Source organism: Homo sapiens, chromosome 1, assembly GCF_000001405.40.
Source record: "Homo sapiens chromosome 1, GRCh38.p14 Primary Assembly".
Lineage (NCBI taxonomy): Eukaryota > Metazoa > Chordata > Mammalia > Primates > Hominidae > Homo > Homo sapiens.
Genome location: NC_000001.11, coordinates 86,998,753 through 87,023,802, shown reverse-complemented (window position 1 = coordinate 87,023,802; position 25,050 = coordinate 86,998,753). Strand labels below are relative to the sequence as shown.

The 25,050-nt window shown below is 37.6% G+C and overlaps 1 protein-coding gene across 2 annotated transcripts in view, besides 1 other annotated feature; it reads right to left on the bottom strand.

Annotated features, from left to right (window-relative positions):
* The window catches only part of HS2ST1 (heparan sulfate 2-O-sulfotransferase 1), a 195,348-nt gene that overhangs the window by 86,180 nt on the left and 84,118 nt on the right, over window positions 1-25,050 (bottom strand). The gene's annotated exons all lie outside the window — the stretch shown is intronic.
* Window positions 6,371-6,540: a silencer, noted in NCBI's record as "fragment chr1:87482946-87483115 (GRCh37/hg19 assembly coordinates)". NCBI's record gives its function as "represses an EF-1alpha promoter that drives an FKBP-Casp9 reporter gene in an ReSE screen in HepG2 liver carcinoma cells {active_cell/tissue: HepG2}" and the evidence as "EXISTENCE:reporter gene assay evidence [ECO:0000049][PMID:32094911]".

The window sequence follows — 25,050 nt, the reverse complement described above, 5'->3', positions numbered from 1 at the left end:
AACACAAACGATACCTTAGAATAATCCTCAATTTTACATTTAGAATTGTGTTTATCATATTTTCTGAGACATGAATGTTAAGACACATTCATCTATCCCATTCAATATATCCTTATCATGCACCTAATATGAGCTAGGCACTATGCTACCTGTTGAAGACAGAGTGATAAATAAAATACAGTTCTTGTCCTTAAGGAACTCAGAGTCTGGCATATCAAGATACTAGCATATGCCTCAGTGTTAATCTGTTCATAGAGATACACAAGGATATATTATATTTTTGTGCCAGTGATAGCATGTTATACATACTATTCTAAACCCTACTTTTTTTTTTTTTAACATATCTTGAAGAACATTACACATCAGTTTGTATAAGTGGTTTTCTTTAACAGCAGCACGGTAATTCTCAGAATGCATGAACCAGAACTTATTTTACCACTCATCTATGAATAGACATTTAGGATGCTTATGATCTTTTTTTATGACAAAAAAAACTGCTGCAATGAATATCCTTGTAAATACATCATTTTGCATAAGTCGTTATTTATCTTTAGGATAACTAGAGTTTGCAGATTTTTAAAAGGGCATGTACATTTAAAATTTTGTATATTTTTTCCAAATTATTCTCCATAAAAGTTATACCAACTCATTAGTTCTGCTATTACACTAACTTTGAAATTTGAATTTGTTACAACACAATTGACATATTGGGAACAATTTGGACATAACACAAATTTTGTATTTGTTTATGCTTGATTTTATCCTCAAGAAAGCAGATAAATGTAGAAAACTGTACCTAGCTAAACAGAGCAGGGTAGGCATATACAAATCATACGTACCTCCTACATCCACCTCAGCTTACAGAGGTATGAGCTCACATGTGTCACAAGCCACAACCATTCACATTCATTGTTACAAGTTTCCAACCCATTTTGAATAACCTTTCTCTACCACTTTCCAATATGGAAGATTTTGAGTTGCATATGCCTGACTTTGAGTTCCTGGAGGACAAGAACTATCTCTTCTTTATTATAGCACAACTGACTATTCCTTTATAATGGTATATGAATATGTCTGTTTTCCCATAACTATGAAAACACTGTGTTGGCAGCTTTTTAAATCTTATTAATATGATAGGTAAGAAAGGTACCTTATTAACTCACAAGGTGCAACCCTTCTAGGGCCCACTTCCACAAGCAAAGTTCAGGTCTTTTTCAAGGTAAAGTACCATGTTTATTTTATTTAGCCATTCATGTACTTAGCCATTTAACATGTATTTTAAAAACTGTGCCACAATTTTTATTAGGGTCTTAAATTTTGTGTCACTGATGAAGTTTTTGAGTGTTGTGCTCCTAATCTCATTTTTCTCACAAGCTCTGTGTTTTTTATGGTGCAATTTTGCCTAACACAGCCAAGGAACATATATGTTGAACTATGGCAGAACTGACTGTATTCGCTCATAACAATATATGAGTATGTCTGTTTCCCATAACTGTGAAAATGGTGTGTTGGCAGCTTTGTAAATCTTACTAATATGACAGGTAAGAAAGCTACCTTATTAAGGGTCACCTTGCATTTTACTTGAATTTTTTAATGTAATGAAAAATTATCTTTAAAAAATGAAAGGATCCACATTTTTTCCACTTAATAATACCAGCCGACTGTTTTTTTCAAATTAAAATAATCTCTGTCAACACAGACCTGCTGACTTCACCCATTCTACTAATTTTCCTTTCTAATCTCTCAAAAGAATTTTGGGAATTCTGGGTCAAAACAGTATACCTGATACCTCCATACATAGAAATTAACTCAAAGTACAATACTGTGTTACTTTCAGATTCTTCTGTGATCTTGCAAACTACATAAGAAGTAGGAAATAATTTTCTAATTTGGCATAAAATAAATGAGAACAAAACTTTTGGTTGAAATGTATAGTCAGAGTTGATGGGTCTCTGAAGTATCATCGGTGGTATGAAATAACACTGTCAGCTTGGCTTGGTGGCTCATGCCTATAATCTCAGCACTTTGGGAGGCCAAGGCAGAAGGATCACTTGAGGCCAGGAGTTTGAGACCAGACTATGCAACAAAGTGAGACTGTGTCTCCATAAAAAATTAAACAATTAGCTGGGTGTGGTGGTATGCACCTTGTAGTTCCGACTACTCAGGAGACTGAGGTGGGAGGATCCCTTGAGCCCGGAAACTCAAGGTTGTAGTGAGTAGTGATTGTGCCATTGTACTCCACCCTGGATGACAGAGTGAAATCTTGTCTCAAAATAAATAAATAACACCACCACCACCAATAATATTGTCAACTACCAACTATCAGATAAGCCTTATTTAATTTTTGTTTGGAAAATATGAATTTGACAAGCAAGCTGAGTAGCTGGTTTAAAAGGCTATACTTCTTTATTATCTCAAGAAGGGATTTATGGAAGAACATGGAATGTTTGTAGGGCCTACAAATATTGACTAGAGGGGGGAACTAATGAATACTGTATGGATTCTGAACAAGGTCTAAACTGCGTACTTCTTACAAATTCAAAATATATTCTGGGAGTGAGAAACACACCTGAAGGACAAGTGGAGTCAACATGTATTCTGGGAGTGAGAAACACACCTGAAGGACAAGGCCTGCTGGTAATTTTTTTTATATGTAATGGAAGAACATGATTTAAGGCAAATCAGTGAAAATCTTAAGGTAGACACCCTGCACTAAATTCCTTAAGTTACCTCTTGACTAACTTCCCAGCCAATGTCTGGAATAGGAGAAAGGTCATCTTAAATGGGAAAAGAGGAGTAGCTGGGGTACTAAGGAATTTGATAACCAAAGGTAGAGAAGAAAACTGATGTACCTATAGAATGAGGCTCAGAACTGTTTATGGTCATGGTTCATTTAGATGAGGGCTAAAGATCTTGTTATGTCCTGAATTGTTTCCCTGACCCCCAATTCATATGTTGAAGTCTTAACCCCCAGTACCTCTGAATGTAACTGTATTTAAAGACAAGGTCTTTAAAGAGGTAATTATGTCCTCACAGGAGAGGAGATTAAAACACAGACATGCACAGAGACTATGTGAAGACACAGTGAGAAGATGATCTACAAGCCAAGGGAAGGGGCCTCAAATAAATCAACCCTGCCAACACCTTGATCTCCTTGATCTCAAACTCCTAGCCTCCAAAACTGTCAGATGTTTAAGCCATCCAGTCTGTCATACTTTGTTATGGCAGCCCTCACAAACTAATACAGACCTAAAGAGAAAGGGCCATAAAATAATTAAATTAAGAATGGTATCTAAAATCCTTTGGAAACTCAAGAAATACAATGCTCCTTTTGAGATAAAAGTGCAGTAGAGCATTCATGTGGGAAAGTGGTTTTTCCCATTCATTTCAGCACTGCATGTACTAGAATAGGAAGCATAAAAGTGAATGACCAAATAGTAGCTGATCAGACATGAAAGATGCATTTGCATCAGTGTAATAGAGGCAAATATACACTGTGAGAACTAAAAACCTTGGAATTACTAACACCTGACACTCCAGGAGCCATCATTTTAATCTGCTTTCTTGTATCCCTCAACTTTAGAGCCAACAAGATTTGAAATGGCCAGAGTTCCTTGTGATAAAGGGGTTTGTTTTTATTTAGTAAATGTTAATACTCTCAAAATATAATTTAGCAAAAATTTTACTGTCACGTAATAAAAAGGCCAAAATAACATCTCCAGCTCTACTCCCAAAGTCATTTCACAGAAAATAATGAGAGATACTCTCCATGCTAATAGAAACAAAAAATTTTAAGGTTATTCAAATTGACTTATACAATAATCTCCCTGCCCACTTGGCTTCCATTATTAGTACAGATTTGAGCAAACTGATAGATTTCTATGGGAGTCAGAAAAAGTTTTTATTGTTGACAGCACAAACACACTCTGTAGAACAGATGCTGTCATCAAATTGTAGTATTATTCAGTTACTCTGCTTTGAAATTAAGTGAAGTACTTGTTTAAAAATGTTTTCTCATTAGAATGTACAATGATCATTTAAAATTCTATCTGCTATAATAGGATATTTCTATCACATTGCAATCTGGACTGTGCCATAAACACTATTGTACTTGAACAGATGGAAATCATAAAGTGATATTTAGCTACAGATTTCCTGTCATATAGTTTTGCAAACTGAAAGAGGAAAAATCAACACTTGCAACCAACTAAAAACAAAATACTATCCAGTAAGCTAAAGTGATGCTAATGTGACATAAGAATATAAATGCATTCAATTTAATGTACTGTGACTTTTGGGGAAAAAAGTAAATATTAAAAAGATATTTCACAAATTTATTCAAGTTTATGATGGGGGCAGGGCCCAGAGAAGGAGTGACATGAAAGACATCTACAACATACAAACTCTGACATTGCATGTAATAGTTTTAACGGATCAAGTGCTATATGTCCTAGTAAACTCAGTATATGATGGTTAAGAAATATCCAAGGATATTAAGGAATACCGTTTGAACTTTAAAGACTTAATTCCTTCTTACAGAAATGTGATACCTGCAACCTGCTTCATAAAATTACTAAGGAAATTAATAAATGTATGCAAAGTACTATACAGTGATAAGCAATTTTAATTCCAGGGAGAGCTTTTTAACTCATCAACAGATGAATGTCTAATCTATTAGCCACATAACACCACATTGCTGATTGATAAATCTAAAATTCTAGTTTCTAAACTGACAGTTTTGAAAATCAATACAGTCATCAAAACTAACATTATAGTGAAATATATTCCAGACACATGTGCTCAAGAATGCCTATCTAAAGAAACATCATAATTAGCCATTTATATTCCATGCATTTTACAAACATACAATATATCAGTCAAGGTCCAATTAGAAATTAGAAATCACACAGGAGTTTGAACAGGGAAAATTCAACATAAAGAATCATTATTATAACTAAACAGAGTACTGGAATAACCAGAGATTGGCTACTAAGAAGTAAGGAGAACTCTAGAACATGATAAGGCGCAACCACCACCCTTAGAACTAAAACGGAATGGCCAAGAAAGAATACCTACTATATCCCCAGACTAAGATCCAGATTTTGTTGGAAAGGTCACAGCTATGGCTCACTGGATGGCACAGAAGATGCTGTGGTGCTACATAAGCAGAACTTGCTGGAAATCTGTCCTTTAGAGCGTCATGAAAAGCTATTCATGGGTGGTGTCTCACTGGAAGCACTCCACTATAAAACCACCCAGAAGATGTTGGCTGCTAGGTGCTGCTGGTTTCCATGCACTGCAGGAGCCAAACGCTATTGCTACAAGCAGCAAAAGCAGCAGAGTTACTCTGCTACAAAACTGCCTCGTGGGTGGATAGGGTATAGGGTTCTGCAAGAAGCTACAGGCCATTGAGTGCAGATGACCATTTTGCACTTTAGGAGCCAGGGAAGCTGCAAGCACTCAAAAACTAGTAAAGAAGCTCCCTTCCTCCTTTAATGGCATTGTGTCAGTACCCTTAACTGACAAAAGTTAATACTGTGCCAGCTGGCAAAGGAAAAATATTTAAAGGATTCATCTCCATTTTCCCAGGGCAGTAAACGAAGGGTAAATATGTTTTTTCTTTGTGTGTGTGTGTGTCTGTGTGTGTGTGTGTGTGTGTGTGTGTGTGTGGCTTTTATTTATCTTTGAAGGGTAAATAAAGAGGTGAGAGTTACATTGATGAGTAGGACACTCAGCTAGAATTCCAAACTGCTATGTTTTACCTTGGGAAATGGAAAATAAAGATGTAAGCCAATGAGTCAAGGATGAGAAAACCTTAGGTAAAATCAATTCCTTAAACCTGTTTTCCTAATTTTAAAAAAGGGGAACAACCATTCATATTCAAGACACTTTTGTGGGGGATAGATGGATAAAATACAAAATTTGAATATTCTGATTTGGGGCCTGTTTTCCCTCGGAAACATAGGCTAAGCCAGAAGAAAGGACACATATATCAAAAATCAAAAATAAAAAAGCAAACATAGGCTAAGCCAGAAGAAAGGACACATATATCAAAAATCAAAAATAAAAAAGCAAACATAGGCCTAAACCAGAAGAAAGGACACATATATCAAAAATCAAAAATAAAAAAGCATCAAATATGTAAATAACTGGGGGGTTTTCAGCCAATTGTTTTTAACAAGTTTACTCTTGTTGAAACAAAAGACGAATGACTGTGCCCGCTGTCTTCTCTTACTATGCCTATCAAGCATGATTAGCTAATACTTAGAACATTTCTCCTTGCTATGTATATATAACATATGGTTATAATGGCTAGACTATGGCATATGATAAATATGAAGAAAATGGTAATTTTAAAAAGAGAGAGGCCGGGTGTGGTGGCTTATGCCTGTAATCCCAGCACTTTGGGAGGCCGAGGCAGGCAGATCACCTGAGGTCAGGAGTTCAAGACCAGCCTGGTCAACACGGTGAAACCCCCTCTCTACTAAAAATACAAAAATTAGCTGGACATGGTGGTGAATCCCTGTAGTCCCAGCTACTCGGGAGGTTGAGACAGGAGAATCGCTTGAACCTGGGAGGCGGAGGTTGCAGTGAGCCGAGATGGCACCACTGCACTACAGCCTGGGTGACAGAGTGAGATTCCGTCGCAAAAAAGAAAGGAGAGAGAGAGAGAGAAAGGCTGCTACACTAGACACAAATTTTGTTCTTCATTCCCTGCACTCTTAATTTTACAGCCTCAGCCTAGAAACCTCATTCAGTCCCATGTTAACACCTAAATCTTCATTTCCAAGCTAATCTTGGAAATTAGCTTGGAATTTTCAAGCTTTAAGGTGCCTAAGGCACCCTAAAGATAACATATCATATGTAACAACCAAGTTCCTTTTAAAATGTCATAAAAATTGACCCCAAAAAGAAAGTGAAAACCTGAAAAAAAAAAACCCAATAACCATTAAAGAAACTGACGGTCAAAAATCTCCACCATCCTATAGCAACTCTCTGTTCCAACAGGTATCAGGTCCAGAGGATACGGCTGAACAGAGCCAAAAGGTAGAATGGGGGCACGGGTGAATGGGACACAGGCACTTGGTTGCTACATTCAATTTAGTGTGTTTTATGTATAGCTGCTGCAACTTGGAAGTCCTGGGAATTATTATTATAAACCAACTTCACTTCTATATTATATTGATGCTATTCCCTTATTTACCAGTTACATATAACCCAAATTATTTTCTGAAATAAACAATGTAATAAAATAGATTGTGTTATTTCTGTGTAATTTTATTAGAGAAAGAATTCTACTGAAAGGAGGGAAGCCAGGAGAGAGAGAGAAAGGAATGGAGGAAGAGAGAAAAGAAAGAAAGCAAGAAAGGGTAAAGAATTAATTAATTCACTGACTGATTGATTAACCTGGAAAAAAACTGCATTAGACTATCTTCTCCAAAACTGATGTCTCCCATCCAGGTTTCTAATGGGAGGTGAAGAGGTAATGAGCTCAAGGTTAAATATCCTGATGATAAACCAAGATTCATGGAAGATAAGTCACTCTGCTTTTAACTGGGTCTATCCAGGGTGGATTAGCACCTTTGACTTTAAATTCTGAGTTAAATAAAGATATAATAACCAAAACCAAACAAGCAAACACACAACAACACGAAAACCCCTTCATTCTCATTAAGAAAAAGAGCTAAGGCCGGGCACAGCGGCTCACACCTGTAATCCCAGCACTTTGGGAGGCCGAGGTTGGCGGATCATGAGGTCAGGAGATCGGGATCATCCTGGCCAACATGGTGAAACCCCGTCTCTACTAAAAATATAAAAATTATCAGGGCGTGGTGGTGCATGCCTGTAATCCCAGCTACCCAGGAGGCTGAGGCAGGAGAATCGATTAAACCCAGGAGTTGGAGGTTGCAGTGAGCCTAGATGGCACCACTGTACTCTAGCCTGGTGACAGAGATAGACTCCATCTCAAAAAATAAAAATAAAAAAAAAGAAAGAAAAAGAGCTACATTGCTTTTCATTGGCTATAATTTTCAATTCTATGGTAGAAATTCAAAATAATATCACTCTAAACCAGAAATGTAAAGTAAGATGGGCCACCTTATGGCATTTTCTTCCACATGCCCTTCAAGGAAACACTCAACATAAAAAATAACAGGGCTTGCTGGGCACAGTGGCTCATGCCTGTAATCCCAGCACTTTGGGAGGCTGAGGCGGGCAGATCACGAGGTCAGGAAATCAAGACGATCTTGGCTAACACGGTGAAACCCTGTCTCCACTAAAAATACGAAAAATTAGCTGGGCGTGGTGGGGCACCTGTAGTCCCAGCTACTAGGAGGCTGAGGCAGGATAATGGTGTGAACCTGGGAAGCAGAGCTTGCAGTGAGCCGAGATTGCGCCACCGCATTCCAGCCTGGGCCACGGAACGAGACTCTGTCTCAAAAAAAAAAAAAAAAACAGGGCCAGGCACGTTGGTTCACGCCTGTAATCCCAGCACTTTGGGAGGCCAAGGCGAGCAGATCATGAGGTCAAGAGATCGAGACCATCCTGGCTGACATGGTGAAACCCGTCTCTATTAAAAATATAAACAATAGCTGAGCTTAGTGGGGCGTGTCTGTAGTCCCAGCTACTCGGGAGGCTGAAGCAGGAGAATCACTTGAACTCAGAAGTCGGAGGTTGCAGTGAGCTGAGATCACGCCACTGCACTCCAGCTTGGTGACAGAGCGACACTCTGTCTCAAACAAACAAACAAACAAAAAACTAAAAAACCCCACAAAGTTACTGCTAAGTAAAGGCATGTTACTGTCAACCTTAATAACAAACTGAGAAAGGTTCTCTAAAAGAAAGATATTTATTTGGAAAGAGCATTTTCATGAGAATACCTGTGTCATAGTAAACAATGTGTGTATTTATAGAAGTTAGGAAGACAATAGTTTTTAAAGGAAAAGTGAGGAGGATAAGATAAATGTTTTAAAATGATTATCCTTGGCTATAAAGATCAATAACAAGAGTGACACGAGTCAAAGGTTGGACAGCCAGTTGCTGGGCAGATGTGTTGGGTAGAAGTATTTATTGAGTAAAGTTGTGATGGCCTTTGTACATGGTTGTGGTTTTTGTGGAGTCTTTTATGATAGTTTTTATCAAGCGTGCAAGCATGAGAACCCTCTCTTCACAGCCTCCTCCAGCTCTATTTGTCAGGGTTTTTTGTTTGTTTGTTTAACATTAGTGATTCCATTTTGACTTTGACAACTTTTACACTATATAGCTGTTCTAAAATTTCATTTTGCAAAATGAATACTGATATGGTTTGGCTGTGTGCCAATCACATCTCAAATTGCAGCTCCCATAATTCCCATGTGTCATGGGAGGGAACCAGTGGGAGGTAACTGAATCATGGGGGCAGGTCTTTCCCATGCTGTTCTTGTACTATTAAATAAGTCCCACAAGATCTAATGGTTTTATAAAGGGGAGTTCCCCTGCACTAGCTGTCTTGTTTGCCGCCAAGTAATACATGTCTTGCTTCACCTTCACCTTCCACCATGATTGTGAGGCCTCCCCAGCCATGTGGAACTGTGGGTCCATTAAACCTCTTTCCTTTATAAATGACCAGTCTCGGGTATGTCTTTATTAGCAGCATGAGAACAGACTAATACAGTAAATTGTTACTGAGGTAGTGGGGTGCTGTTGTAAAGATACCCACAAATGTGGAAGCTACTTTGAAAGTGGGTAATAGGCAGAGGTTGGAACAGTTTGGAGGGCTCAGAAGACAGAAAGATGTGGGAAAGTTTGGAACTTCCTGGAGACTTGTTGAATGGCTTTGTTCAAATGCTGCTCATCTCAGATAGAGATGAGAAACTTCTGGGAACTAAAATAAAGGTGACTCTTACTATGTTTTAGCAAAGAAACTGGTGGCATTGTGCCCCTGCCCTGGAGACCTGTGGAACTTTGAACTTGAGAGAAATAACTTAGGGTATCTGGTGGAAGAAATTTCCAAGCAGCAAAGTGTTCAAGAGGTGACTTGGGTGCTGTTAAATGCATTCAGCTTTATGTACTTACAAAAATATGGTTTGGAATCAGAACTTAAGTTTAAAAAAGCAGCAGAGCATAAAAGTTCAGAAAATCAGCAGCCTGACAATGCAATAGAAAAGAAAAACCCATTTCCTGAGGAGAAATTCAAGCCAGCTGTAGAAATTTGCATAAGTAACAAGGAGCCAAATGTTAATCACCAAGACAATGAGGAAAATGTCTCCAGGGCATGACATGTCTTCATGGCAGCCCCTCCCATCACAGGCCCAGAGGCCTAGGAGGAAAAAATGGTTTCCTGGGCCAGGCCCAGAGCCTTGCTGTTTTATGTAGTCTCAGGACTTGGTGCCCTGCTTCCTAGCCATGGCTAAAAGGGGCCAAGGTACAGCTCATGCAGTGGCTTCAAAGGGTGCAAGCACCAAGCCTTGGTGGCTTACAAGTGATGTTGGGCCTGTGGGTGCACAGAAGTCAGAAACTGAGGTTTGGGAACCTCCACCTAGATTTCAGAGGTTGTATGGAAATGCCTGGATATCTCCAGGCAGAGGTGTGCTACAGTCGTGGGGCCCTCATAGAGAACCTCTGCTAGGGCACTGTGGAAGGGAAATGCTCTGTGGGAGCCCCTATACAGAGTCCCCACTGGGGAACTACCTACTGGAGCTGTGAGAAGAGGGGCACTGTACTCCAGACCCTAGAATGGTAGACAGCTTGCATTGTGCACCTGGAAAAGCTGCAGATGCTCAAAGCTAGCCCATGAACACAGTCACAAGGGAGGCTGTACCCTGCGAAGCCACAGAGGCAGAGCTGTCCAAGACCATGGGGAAGCCCACCTCCTGCATCAGCGTGACCTGGATGTAAGATAGGGAGTCAAAAAAGATCATTTTGGAGCTTTAAGATTTGACTGCCCCACTGGATTTCGGACTTGCATGGGGCCTGTAGCCCCTTTGTTTTGGCCTATTTCTCCCATTTGGAATGGCTGTATTTGCCCAATGCCTATACTGCCACTGTATCTAGGAAGTAACTAACTTGCTTTTGATTTTTCAGGCTCATAGGCAGAGGGGACTTGCCTTGTCCCAGATGAGACATTGAACTGTAGACTTCTGAGTTAATGCTGAATGAGTTAAGACTTTGGGAAGGCATGATTCATTTTGGAATGTGAGGACATGAGATTTGGGAGGGGCCAGGGGCAGAATGATATGGTTTGGCTGTGTCCTCACCCAAATCTCATCTTGAATTGTAGCTCCCATAATTCCCATGTGTTGTGAAAGGGACACAGTGGGAGGCAACTGAATCATGGGGGTGGATCTTTCCTCTGCTGTTCTCATGATAGTGTATAAGTCTCACGAGATCTGATTGTTTTATTCATGATAGTGAATAAGTCTCATGAGAGCTTGTCCCCTGCACAAGCTCTCTTGCTTGCTACCATGTAAGACGTGTCTTGCTTCCCCTTCACCTTCCCCCATAATTGTCAGGCCTCCCCAGCTACGTGTAACTGTGGGTTCATTAAACCTCTTTCCTTTATAAATTACCAGTCTCGGGTATGTCTTTATTAGCAGTGTGAGAACAGACTAATACAAATATTGACAGTGATAGAAAATCTATGATTTGGATAAAAGTGCTAGAAAAAGGTGAAATGCTGATGGGGAAGTAACCGTAAAATGAAGGAAAAAAAAGTAGAACACCTTAAGCATTAGTGGACATTTCTATCCTCTGAAAGCACTGGAAGATGATATTGTGGAAAGGGGAATCAATTAATTATGAATCAATGCATTGCATGCATACTGAAGGAGAATTGATAATTACGTTACTATGCAAATACAAAAAATAAATTGAACAAGATTTCATGTTAACCTTCCTTAGCCACTAAACAATATAAATAAAACCGTATGTCCTAGCTATGCTACTTCCATCTCCAAAATCATGCATAAAGAAGAAAGTTACAATATCAATTCCTCAAGGTACATATCTTAGACCTAAATCTGTCACTTTGACAAAGTACTTTTGGCTTTGGACTGTAGTGCTACCAAATAAGAAAAATTCTTGCCTACCCTAATAGAGGTGCTCAATATGAAATTAAGATTTAAATTATGCTGATTTTGTTAGGTAAGACAGATGGCTGTCCTATAAAATAACAATATACAATGCCCTAATTCTATTATTGATGAGTTAATTAAAGAATGAAAAGAAAAGTGAACCCATTTATAAAATCAATCATTCAAGTGGCATTAAGAATACTGGGGAACAGCTGGGCACAGTGGCTCATGCCTGTAATCTCAGCACTTTGGGAGGCTGAGGCTCAAGATCACTTGAGCCCAGGAGTTCCAGACCACCTTGGAAAACATAGTGAGACCCTGTCACTACAAAAAAATTAAAAAATTAGCTGGGTGTGGTGGTGTGCACCTGTGGTCCCAGCTGTTGGGAGGCAGAGGCAGAATTGCTTGAGCCCAAGAGTTCAAGGCTGCAGTGAGCTATGATCATGCCACTGCACTCCACCCTGGGCAAAATTTAAAAAATAATAATAAAAAGAATGCCAGAGGAAAAAATTTTGGTAAAAAGTAAAAGGAATTATAACTGAACAAAAACATAATGGAACTGACGGCTTTTTGATTTGACAGGAAGGAAATTCAGAATCTCAATTTTTATGTTCAGAATTATTTGCTACTCATTCATAGGAATATTTTTCTATAAGAAATGTGAAGAGGCCAGGCACAGTGGCTCATGCCTATAATCCCAGCACTTTGGGAGGCTGAGGTAGGCCGATCACCTGAGGCCAGTAGTTCAAGACCAGCCTGGCCAACATGGTGAAACCCCATCTCTACTAAAAATACAAAAGTTAGCTGGGCATGGCAGCACACACCTGTAGTCCCAGCTACTCAGGAGGCTGAGGCAGGAGAATCGCTTGAACCCGGGAAGTGGAAGCTGCAGTGAGCCGAGATCATGCCACTGCACTCCAGCCTGAACAACAGAGACTCTGTCTCAAAACAAAACAAAACAAAACAAAACAAAACAAAACAAAACAAAACAAAACAGTAAAATCTATTTGTGTCTTTATATGCTTTTATTGTGTTTTAAATAAATAAGAAATATTACTTTAAAACCTTTGGTACTTCAAAATATTTCAAATTTATAGCCAAATGAATATAAGAGCAGAACATCTAGTATTAGTCTACATATGAAAATATCTAACATGAAAAATAAAAATGTTTAATTTGTTACTCCAAATTTCTCTACTGGCTCCTTTACCAGAATGGTACTCTATACAAAAAAAACAAGGAGGGAATAATATTTTTTTCCTACATTATTGCCAATTTATTTTTGCAGTAAGAAGTTACCAGTATGGATATAAATGACATAATACGTTTTGTAAACTAATCTCTCTACATTCACCAGTGTCACTGATTTTACTGTTATTTCCTAATTACATTCTATAATATGTAAATAGTAATTAAGAAGAAAATCAAGAATCATGTAAAAGCTAAAAAAAAAAAAATTGTGCTTCTCTGCCATAAACAGTAGGGATGGAGCAGTGGTTGGTGCAGTTGGGAGATATAAATATTAACTCCTATGTGACAAACAGTATTACAGTCCTAATATGAGCTGCCTTTCCCTTACTGAGCCTGTTCCTATAGAAGGCTTACATTTCTTGCTTTCATTTGACCTGCTTTACTAATGAAATGTGAAAGTGCTATGTGCCAGTTTCTAGCAGAAGTTTGTTTTTGTTTTTTTTTTTGTTTTGTTTTGTTTTGTTTTTGAGACAGAGTCTCCCTTTGTCGCCCAGGCTGGAGTGCAGTGGCGTGATCTTGGCTCACTGCAAGCTCTGCCTCCCTGGTTCACGCCATTCTCCTGCCTCAGCCTCCCGAGTAGCTGGGACTACAGGTGCCCGCCACCAGGCCCAGCTAATTTTTTTGTATTTTTAGTAGAGACGGGGTTTCACCGTGTTAGCCAGGATGGTCTCGATCTCCTGACCTCGTGATCCACCCGCCTCGGCCTCCCAAAGTGCTGAGATTACAGGCATAAGCCACCGCACCTGGCCTCAAGCAGAAGTTTTAAGAGCCATGACACAGGTCCTGCTATCACACCTTCCTCTCTCCTTTAGCCTAGGTTATCAGAATAAGCGGGTACAGAGCAGAACACAGCAGATTCACACAGTAAACGAGAACAAATAAGCCACTAAAATTTTGGAGTTGTTTGCTATCACGGTTTACCAAAAGCTGACTAATAAACCATGATATGTGGGGAGTGAGAGAGATGTCCAATATCGTAAGCAATACAGATGTTAAAAACAGTCAAATGGTATATACCTATGGCAACTACTCAACATGAAGTCCATTTCTGTGTTTGTTAGTACTGGCTAACTGGCTAGTTGTATGTCAGGGAACTACCATAAATAACAAGACCAGTTGCTCCCATTTTCTTGGAAATCTCTTCAATGTCTGAGATTGCATTTAATTTGAGCCTGTTCACCTTTCCTACTTCTTTCCAAAGATTACTGGAAAGAAGGTTAATTATCACACTTACTGTTTTATACACAGTTTAAAGGGATGGAGAAAGGTAAACACATAATACACATTGTACATAACAGAGGTAATAGTGACAAGCTAGGAATTCGCAATATTGTCCACAGTAATTTTCTAATTTCAAACTCCTTCTGGGCCAGTATGGGGTGGCTCATGCCTACAATCTGGGAGGCCGAGGTGGGCGATCGCTTGAGCTCAGGAGTTTGAGACCAGCTTGGACAACATGGTAAAATCTCATCTCTAGAGAAACTACAAAAATCAGCAGGGTGTGGTGGCATGCACCTGTGGTCCCAGCTACTTGGGAGGCTGAGGCAGGCGGATCACTTGAGTCCAGGAGGTCGAGGCTGCAGTGAGCCATGATTGCACCACTGCACTCTAGCCTGGGTGACAGACTGAGACCCTGTCTCGAATAAATAAATAAAACAAAACAACACAACACAACTCCTTCTGAATTTCGTAGCTTGGTAGCTAGAGAATTAGCAAGTAGATTTTAATATTTTAAAATACTGCTTATGAGGAATTTTTACTGTAATGGGGCTTGTGAAACCTTCTTGAGCCAGTCAAACACAAACAGTTGTACCCACTCCAAGTCTTTTCAATTTTATCCTGCATTGTTTCCTAATAAATTTACCTACTTGCCATTTTAAATGGCTGTCAAAACATTAATTTATGAGCTGGACTAAAAGGTTACTTGCTACTGAATTTAGAAAGTTCGCTTAAGAACTGCCTTGGAGTTTCTGGATAACTGATACTGAAGCAAATGCAATTAAGTAAAACATTCATGTCATTGTTGCTCAGTAATTATGTTTCAAAATATTACAGTGTATAAATGTTTTGTCAATACATGACACAAGCAATCAGTCTTCATTTCTGCTTCAGTGTTAGATATAATTTAATTATCAAACTCTAAATATGAGTCATTAACTGATGGTATATGTTATACATTATTTTGCCCTAAGAACGAGTTGTGAAAAGTAATGAGACTAATTTCTGTATAACCTACTGGACTTTTCTTATTTTTAAGTCACTCTACATATTGATTATATCTCAATATAATTTCAGGTAAATTGACTTTGCTTCTCTTGAGATTTAATACAGGAAACATTCTACTTAAATTATTTGTCAGGAAGACTAGACCAAAAGCAGTGTCCAAGATGCCCAATGTAAGTAATTTTCTATTAAAATATTATTTCTTTCCTCACAATTCCGAAATCTGAGTACCTTTCTTAGTTATATGCTACAATTTAAAATTATTTTATACCCACTATATACCCACAAAAATTACAAATAAAATTTTTTAAAAAAATAACTTTTACTTTAATTTGCAAATAAGAAGATAGATTTTTACCATTTTATTTTACTGAAAACTAAGATTACACAGTTGAGACTGTTGACAGATTTAAAAATAGATGCACAGGAATATACAGAAAATAATAAACACAGCACTTCAAGGAGAATTTGATGCTATTATTTTTAATGAAAGACAGACAAGGACACAAGCATTGAAATGGTATTCTGCATTAGCATTGTGCATAAATGATAAACTATGTCACACTGCAAATACTGTAAAGTCAAGTGTCATGAAGTAGCCTTAGAATGAAAAAAATACCGTAAAGATGTGAATTACTGGAGAAATGTCAGAGGAGTGCAAAGTATTTTGAGAGGAAAAAAAATGAGTAGAAAGTAACAGGTATGAAGTGAAACAGGAGGTGGTTTCTCCTATCACATTTTAACCAGCCTTGCTATGCTGGGAGTGTATAATTACCAATATAATGCTCTCACAGTGCTTGAGTGTATGTCCTTCTATGCATCCTCTATAATAACTTAGGGGCCATGCCTCTAGGTATTCCCACCATTGTAGAAATGGTGGCAGGAGCTACAAATTAAATATTTGGTAGATATTTTTAATCATATGTTAGGAAGCCAAGCATCACAAAATATAAAGATAAATAGAAAATGCATGTACACATATACATGGATCTCTTAGGATGTTATATGAATATGTGTGTGTGAAAGTACGTGTATGAACTATATTCTTGAATATAAACTTTTTAAAAAAAACTAGAACAAGTAGTATCATAAACTGATAAATCTGAGTTTCTAAATGATTTTCATTTGCTTCTGGTATGACTGCAGGGCTTAAGAAAAGAAATTAAGAGGTTATTTAGGTATAATCTATACAGAACTTGTTGACCAAAAAATCTTTATGCTATTGTAAGAAAAAAAATTGACCCTTCTTCCTACTGCAATGGACAGCATTACTCACTTAGTCTAAAATATCTTCTCTTTTATAAGACTGCTATTTCACTCACTCCATTCTGTAGAGAAAAAAAGTACTAGCAGCCGTATAATGAAAGGACTAGAAGAATTCTACAACAGAAAGTTAACAGTGACTTGTCCTTATCGCTCTAACTCAGCAGCTGCTAGTGAACAAAAATTATTGCTAATAAAGGGATTAAGCTATTATCTTATGTTAGCAAATATTTAGAAATAAATTTTAGATTAATCATAGCATGTTTATATTATGAGAAGAAATGACTAAAATGATTCAAACTTTAGTTAGAATACTCATAGCATGATTTACCTTTACATGGCAATCTTAAGCTTTAATAATTTCATGTATAATGGATCAATATAAAGAAATGATTCAATTTATTTCATTCAGAATTTTCATCTTAACCATTCTAATTAACTAAAATCTATAACCATTTGGCTATTAATCATCTGTGCACAGAATTACTAAGTGTTGCCTTTAATAAAAATACAATCTCATGATAATAGGCTTCATCAATCAGTAGACAGGCATTGCCTATATATGCAAACCAAGTCCTGTTGACTAGTAAGTGCTCTGTGTGCATTATCTACCTCAATGCCCTTTATTTAAGGATATCTTGCATGTCTGGGTTGTGCTGTAATAATAAACTAGCACAGCAACTCCCATGGCTCACAGCATTACTAAATGTCTTCTTTTGAACCTTTTGGCAACAAAAAATAAGCTGAGTGGGTCATGTCAATGCTAAATTGTTTCATTAATTCACTACTATCCTTGGGCAATACTACTGCATTTTAAGGTAATGGAAAACATTACAAGGAAAACAGTAAGCATTTCCCCAAATTGCACTGGAATGCTAAACAGCCTATACAAAACTTACCAGTGTATTTCAAGATTTTCACAAAAATTTTTTAATTAAAGTTTTGTTTTCATAACAGATTAGACAAGAATTTCTCTTATTCTACCTAATATTTAGAAAGTTATGAAAACCCTAATTTTATACAAAAATATGGCTCTAGAAATAAATCTTTCTTTTCACTCAAAAATGTAATGAGGATATTTTCTTTACATGGAAGAAGTAGAGACAACAGTAACGTAATCTTCCATTTCTCACAAAATACTAACAGAAATCCACTGTTTTCTTCCATCACACTGATTCTTAAAAAAATTCTAAAAAGTTATTTTATCATAGGCGAATCCTTCAAAGTACACCAAATTTTGGTAATATGACTGAGGAGAACAAGGATTGGCATGTGAGGTCTTTCACTATGTAATTATAATTTAGGAGCATCTCAGTTCACCTAGTAAAAGAGAATCTCTTAAACATGCCACGAAGGCCAACTGAATACTTAGGTATCCAACAAGTGATGATATATAAAGGAAGAGCATTCAAAATGTATACATTCATTTAATCATTAATTATTGAATCCACAATTGCTACAGAGATGTTTACAGTGTTATTATTTTGCCAACAATGTAAATCACTGATGTTTATTTATACACTAAATGTTTAATGTCACTCAATTTTGTCTTTTATTGTAGTTAATTTTTTCACTGGCTATACCTTTATTTACTTTATAATTTAATATAATGATTTAAGAGTCAATTAGTTAAAATAACAAAAATAGATTAAATATTTTATTTGCTTAAAAAGGTACCAGGATTGATTTATTTGAAAATTTAGGAAAATTGGAGGATAAGGTACACCAACCTTGAGCTAACAAGACAAAATATTGAAAGCTCAAGAAAAATAACAAAACCAACATGTACAGAAGAGGATTCTGCCTCTGCGTGGGCAAAAGGGTATTCACACTATGATAAGCAACCCTTCTCAATTTGAGATTCATAGCAAAAGATATCAACTTTAAAAGATATTGATACAAAGAAAAAAAAATCTTACCAGAGGGACATGATAACTATCTTTAAACATGCAACTGCCATCCTGTGGAAAGCTGATTAGGCTTAAACTTTTAACTGCAGAGGTCAAAACTGGGACCATGGAATGGAAAATAACAGGCACTTTTTGTTCAATTAATTATTCAAACTATTATTTCCAAGGATGACCTAATTAAAAATGAAATAGATTGTCCTTTACTAATGTTACCATTTGTAGAAATTTTAAGCAGGGGACTGATATCAAAAACGATATGGCCTGGATTTCTATATTGGTTGAGAATATGCACTATATGACTCCTAAGCCTCCTTGTCACTCTTAATATTCTTCAAAAAACTTGAAGCTCTATAGCACCTTTAGTGTTAGTGTTCACCATGAGTGCACTGTGAATATTTCTAGAAAGGATATTTTGTCTTTTATATTCTCGTATCAAACTATGGATGGAATTAGTTCAGGGAATACACTCAAACTGGCACAAAAAATTTTACTTTGTCATTCTTCAGATGACAGTGACTCTAATACAGAGTAAATATTTCTCTGCTTATAAACAGTACTTGCTGTATGATGCATTCCTCTAACAGCCCCTTAACAATGTTATATATAAATATATATGTCAAAAGGGTAAGGAAAAAAATAGACTTTTGTGTAAAAAAACCAAACTACATAGTGATTGAGATACGCAGGCTTATATATATATTTGTTCATTTGTTTTGAGACAGAGTCTCCCTCCATCGCCCAGGCTGGAGCACAGTGGCGTGATCTCGGCTCGCTGCAACCTCCACCTCCCAGGTTCAAACACTTCTACTGCCTCAGCCTCCCAAGTAGCTGGGATTACAGGTGCCTGCCACCATGCCCACCTAATTTTTCTACTTGTAGTAGAGATGGGGTTTCACCACGTTGGCCAGGCTGGTCTCGAACTTCTGACCTCAGGTGATCCGCCCATCTCAGCCTCCCAAAGTGGTGGGATTACAGGTGTCAGCCACCACGCCCGGCCAGTATTCAGTAAATATTTTTTGAATCAATAAATGAACAACAAAAAAGATTCAGAAGCTGTTTGGTGGCATAAACATTTTCCTTAGCCACATATTGAGAATCCTATTGTTAAAAAATGTAACAAGTTAGCTGAGGACTAAAAAACAAACAATTACATAGAGTTGTCTGTCCCTCAGTATCCACAGAAGATTGGTTTTAGGAACTCTGGCAAATACCAAACTTCAGAGGAGATGCTCAAGTCCCTTATATTAAATTGTATAATATCTGCATATAACCTACACACATCCTCCTGTATACTTATATCATCTCTAGGTTGCTTATTACACCTAATACAATGAAAATTTTATGTAAATGGTTGTTATACTGTATTGTTCAGGGAATAATGACAAGAAAAAAAAAAGTCTGTACATCTTCAGTACAGAAGCAACCATCCTTTCTCTGAATATTTTTTATTGTGATTAGTTGAATCCAGGTACGGAACCAATGGGTACAGGGAGCTGACTGTATTTGACAGGGTCTATAAAGAGCATCAAACAAAATTCAAGAGAGAAGCATAAAAGAAATTACAAAAATTGACGCTTTTTGTTCTAACACAAACCCAGAATATGCAACTCTAAGTGCATCTGATTAAATAGGTTAATGGTAACGTAAGCACTGAACTTTACAATGCTATTCATAAAAACAAAAACTAACTGGTTTTTGTTCATGAATACTGTATACATTCAAAAATTATTTTTTAGCTTTAGTTAACTGCACATAAAATCCCATTTAGTATGAATACTAATGTTTAACAATGTGTAAACATTATTCTATTTTTTTCTCCTGAATCTTAGCCTAAACTAATTTCATACCTAACACAAAACAGATAAAATGCATCTTAAAGAGCTTTTGACTTAATCTTATGTTCTACTTTAATCACAGCCAGTCAAGGGTTTCTTCAAAACTTATGAGGCACCAATACTTTGCTTTCCCTGTTCAAAGATCCTTCTTCACCTGATTCATCACTTATTACAGACGCCATCTTCTAGTCTGGACTGGGATCTGTGGAGCCATCAGGGCGTGGGCCACACGCACCCCTTGCTTATACAAGTAGATAGGGCCCAAATCCAACCTCTGCACCTATTGCTTCGAGAGAAGAGTAGTTCACTTATGTGTTGTACATTTATACATCCTAAGTTTCTATGACAGATTTTAATTAAATAGTTCCACTGCTAAAAAGTTGCAAGAGCCATTGTTCCATATCTACATTCTAGACTAATCAATGATTCCCAAATGGCTTTAGATGACTCCCAAAACGTCCGATCAGGAGTCAAGGATTTTCAGGGTTGTAGGTGACCAAAAAGGGGACCTATACAAGGTAGTCAGCGGGGGGGAAAATTTTTAACTTTTTGGTCAAAAGGGCAATGAAAAAAATAGACTTTTGTGTAAAAAAAACAAACTACATAGTGAATGAGACACAGAGGTTTAACTCTTTTTTTTCTTTTTCTTTTTTTTTTTTTTGAGACAAAGTCTCCAGGGTCTCACTCTTGTCACCTAGGCTTGAGTACAGTGGTGCAATCACAGCACAGCTCACTGCAGCCTCAACCTCCCAGGCTTGGGTGATCCTCCCACCTCAGCCTCCCAAGTAACAGGGACTACAGGCATACACCACCATGCCCTGCTAATTTTTTTGTAATTTTTGTAAAGACAGGGTGTCACCATATTGCCCAGGCTGGTCTGGAACTCCTGGACTCAAGCAATCTGCAAGCCTTGGCCTCCCAAAGTGATGGGACTACAAGCGTGAGCCATGGCGCCTGGCTAGGTTTAACATTTAACAGTCTAAATAGTAGCTACATACAAAGTTATCTCACCTACCAAAAAATTTAGAGGCAGTTGTTATTTTAAAAATACAATAGTCCGGCCGGGCACGGTGGCTCACGCCTGTAATCCCAGCACTTTGGGAGGCTGAAGCGGGTGGATCACGAGGTCAGGAGATTGAGACCATCCTGGCTAACACGGTGAAACCCCATCTCTACTAAACATACAAAACATTAGCCAGGCTTGGTGGCGGGCACCTGCAGTCCCAGCTACTCGGGTGGCTGAGGTAGGAGAATGGCGTGAACCCTGGAGGCGGATCTTGCAGTGAGCCGAGATCGCGCCACTGCACTACAGCCTGGGCAACACAGCAAGATTCCATCTCAAAAAAAAAAAAATACTCCTGGCATGGGGGTGGCTCACACCTGTAATCCCAGCACTTTGGGAGGCCGATGTGGACGGATCACATGAGTTCAGGAGTTTGAGACCAGCCTGATCAACATGGAGAAACCTGGTCTCTACTAAATATACAAAATTAGCCAGGTGTGGTGGCACATGCCTGTAATCCCAGCTACTCGGGAGGCTGAGGGAGGAGAATCACTTGAACCCGAGAGGCGGAGATTGTGGTGAGCCAAGATCGTGCCATTGCACTCCCGACTCGGCAAAAAGAGTGAAACTTCGTCTCAAAAAAAACTACAATAGTAATACCACAATAACAACTTTTCATAAACAGTCTTTTTAAAAGTAATACTTTATTTTTAAAGTTCTTTAATTCTGAGCTCTAAAGTTCTAGAAGGCTCTTTTAATTTTCAGAGGAAAACTGTCTTGGACTTTTAGAAACCATTTAAATATTTGAAGTTTTATTAAATTTAGATTACAAATTTTCTCCTTCGCAGATAGCCCACATAAAAAATGACAGGGCAAGGAAAATTTGGAAAACAACCACTACAACAGACTTTTTTATCCCCCAAAAGTAAATAAAGATTTGAAACTTATAATATTAACAAAATTTAACCCGAAGATTACATGGTATTTTGGGGAGATAGGAACTTGGTTCAAAAAGATAAGCAATGGATTATGAGGAGTAGCCTGTGTACAGTAAATCCAAAGGTATTCACATACAGCACCTCTCTTCTCCTGATTATCTCCACACAACATTTTGGCATTTTGGAAAAATAAAGATTTTAAAATATTTTTGCTCTCATTTTTCAGCTATTTTTCCTATTTCTCAAAGTGATATACAACATTATCAGGGTTATATCCACTTGTATAAAAACAAAAGCTTTCTTCCATTATACTTAAGATGAAGCTTCTGGATACCTGACCACTACAAAGCAACAAACCCTGGAAACCAATATACTGCAGGCATTAATTTTGATTCTGAGGGACTGGTATCTTAAATATCTCTAGAACAGTAGGCATGTTTGGCTACTCCTCAACAGAAACTGAGGGTAGAACTGGTAAAATTGTTTCAGTAGTTATAACCCAGAAAACAGGGTAGTACTTTCCCAAGTGCAAAATTGTGTATGTTCCCACTGTGCTACATAGCTGAAGCATACAAAAGCTATAAAAGGTAAATGACTGTCATGCCCTATAAAGAAAACAATAGTAGAAAACATGCATAGAGTGAAACTGGGCAAAGTCTTACAAGCTTTCAAATGCACAACTCTAGATGTCCCCAACAATTGATTAGGGCAAACTACCAACTACATTCTACTCTTTGGATCATTTTTTTGGAACAGGAAGTCTTTTGCGTTAAAACTATTCACATGCAGTCTGATGCCAGACGCCACTTAGTCCAAGTTTTATTCCCTATTTGAAGTGGGCATAATTTGGAAATTTATCATCTTGGAGCTTCTGGACTTTAGACTAAAACTCAAAAGCTGAGAGATATGTTCTACATACTTTTTGGTAAGAAATACTAGAAACAGGCATTTAATTGCTGTGTCAGTTTCCATTACATTAAAATAAGGGGATGATAATCTTCAATGTTCCTTAGTCTTAAAATTGTGTTTTTTAAGTTAGTATTCCATTAGTTTACATTTGTATAATCCAATACAGCTTTAAGAAATGATTACCTGTACATTTGATAAGGTCTCAAGCATCAATTTTAAGTCCACTTCTTATGTACTTAAAGGTAAGACTACTCATTATTTGCTTTATAAGAACTGTACTACTTTTGGGATTTTCATTTAGTTTTTTTTTTTTTAATGAGTCAAGATTTGCTAGGAGTTGGTTACTACATAACCAACCCTGTTAACTGAAAACACAGAAACAAAAAAATTAATGTTTACATTCAACCAACAGGCAAGGTGTACTTGCTGGCATAACTATTTTCTCCCTTTTTTTGGCATAACTAATCATTTGGAATATTACTGCCATTTACAAAGAGGCATTCCAAGAACATATTTTATTGTCAGAAACTTTATTATCAGAAGTACAAATAACGTGGAAATAGAAAGTTGGGTTAATGACGTGAATTCCATACCTACTCTAGGGTTACAGGAACAAAGAAAGGAAAAATCACTGTGTATTAGAAAAGCTGTGAAAAGACTCTTGCAGAATATTTGACTTTACTAGGCCTAAAACAGATGTATGATTAACAAAAGTAAGTTGGGGGGGAAAGCATAATTTGAAAAGAATGACGATATATTCTTTTTGGATATGGAAAATGTCAGAAATATAAATTGAGTCAAATGGGAGAGAGAACAGACATTGGTTTTAAAAGTCTACAGAAAAGAGCTGAAACTGAAGATGTGTACCTAGATTATTAATAGATAAACAAAAAGAAAGGGATATAACAAATGACATGGTAAAACCACTAAGAAGAAAATAAAAGGCCAGGTGTGGTGGCTCACGCCTGTAATCCCAGCACTTTGGGAGGCTGAGGTGGGTGGATCATCTGAAGTCGGGAGTTCGAGACCAGCCTGACCAACATGGAGAAACCCTGCCTCTACTGAAAATACAAAATTAGCTGGGCATGGCGGTGCATGCCTGTAATCCCAGCTACTTGGGAGGCTGAGGCAGGAGAATCGCTTGAACCCAGAAGGCAGAGACCGCGGTGAGCCGAGATCGCACCATTGCACTCTGGCCTGGGCAACAACAGTGAAACTCCATCTCAAAAAAAAAAGAAAAAGAAAATAAAAATTATTGTTTCCAAAAAGAACAGATTATATCAGCCTCTAAGATATTCCTAGAAACCTTTTAAAATACCTTGATCTTTCATGCTGTGGTATACATTTTCTAAAACACAGGGCTCTTTCCCTTTGAGGGTTAACTAGATGAAGTATAAGCACTAGTAAATAAGCTTTTAGATCTGTAGATCTACACTTCTCAAACTTAAATGTGTATATGAATCACCTGAGCTTATTAAAATGCAGATTATGAGTCAGTAAGTGACAGCATGGGGGAGGAGGAGGATTCTGCATTTCTAATAAGCTCCCATGTGATGGCCAAAGAGTGCTAGTCCATGAACCACAGTTTGAGTAGCAAAGTTTTAGATGAATTTCTATAAATCAGCCTTAATATTAAATTTTTGGGAAAGTTGAAAAATATTACATTTA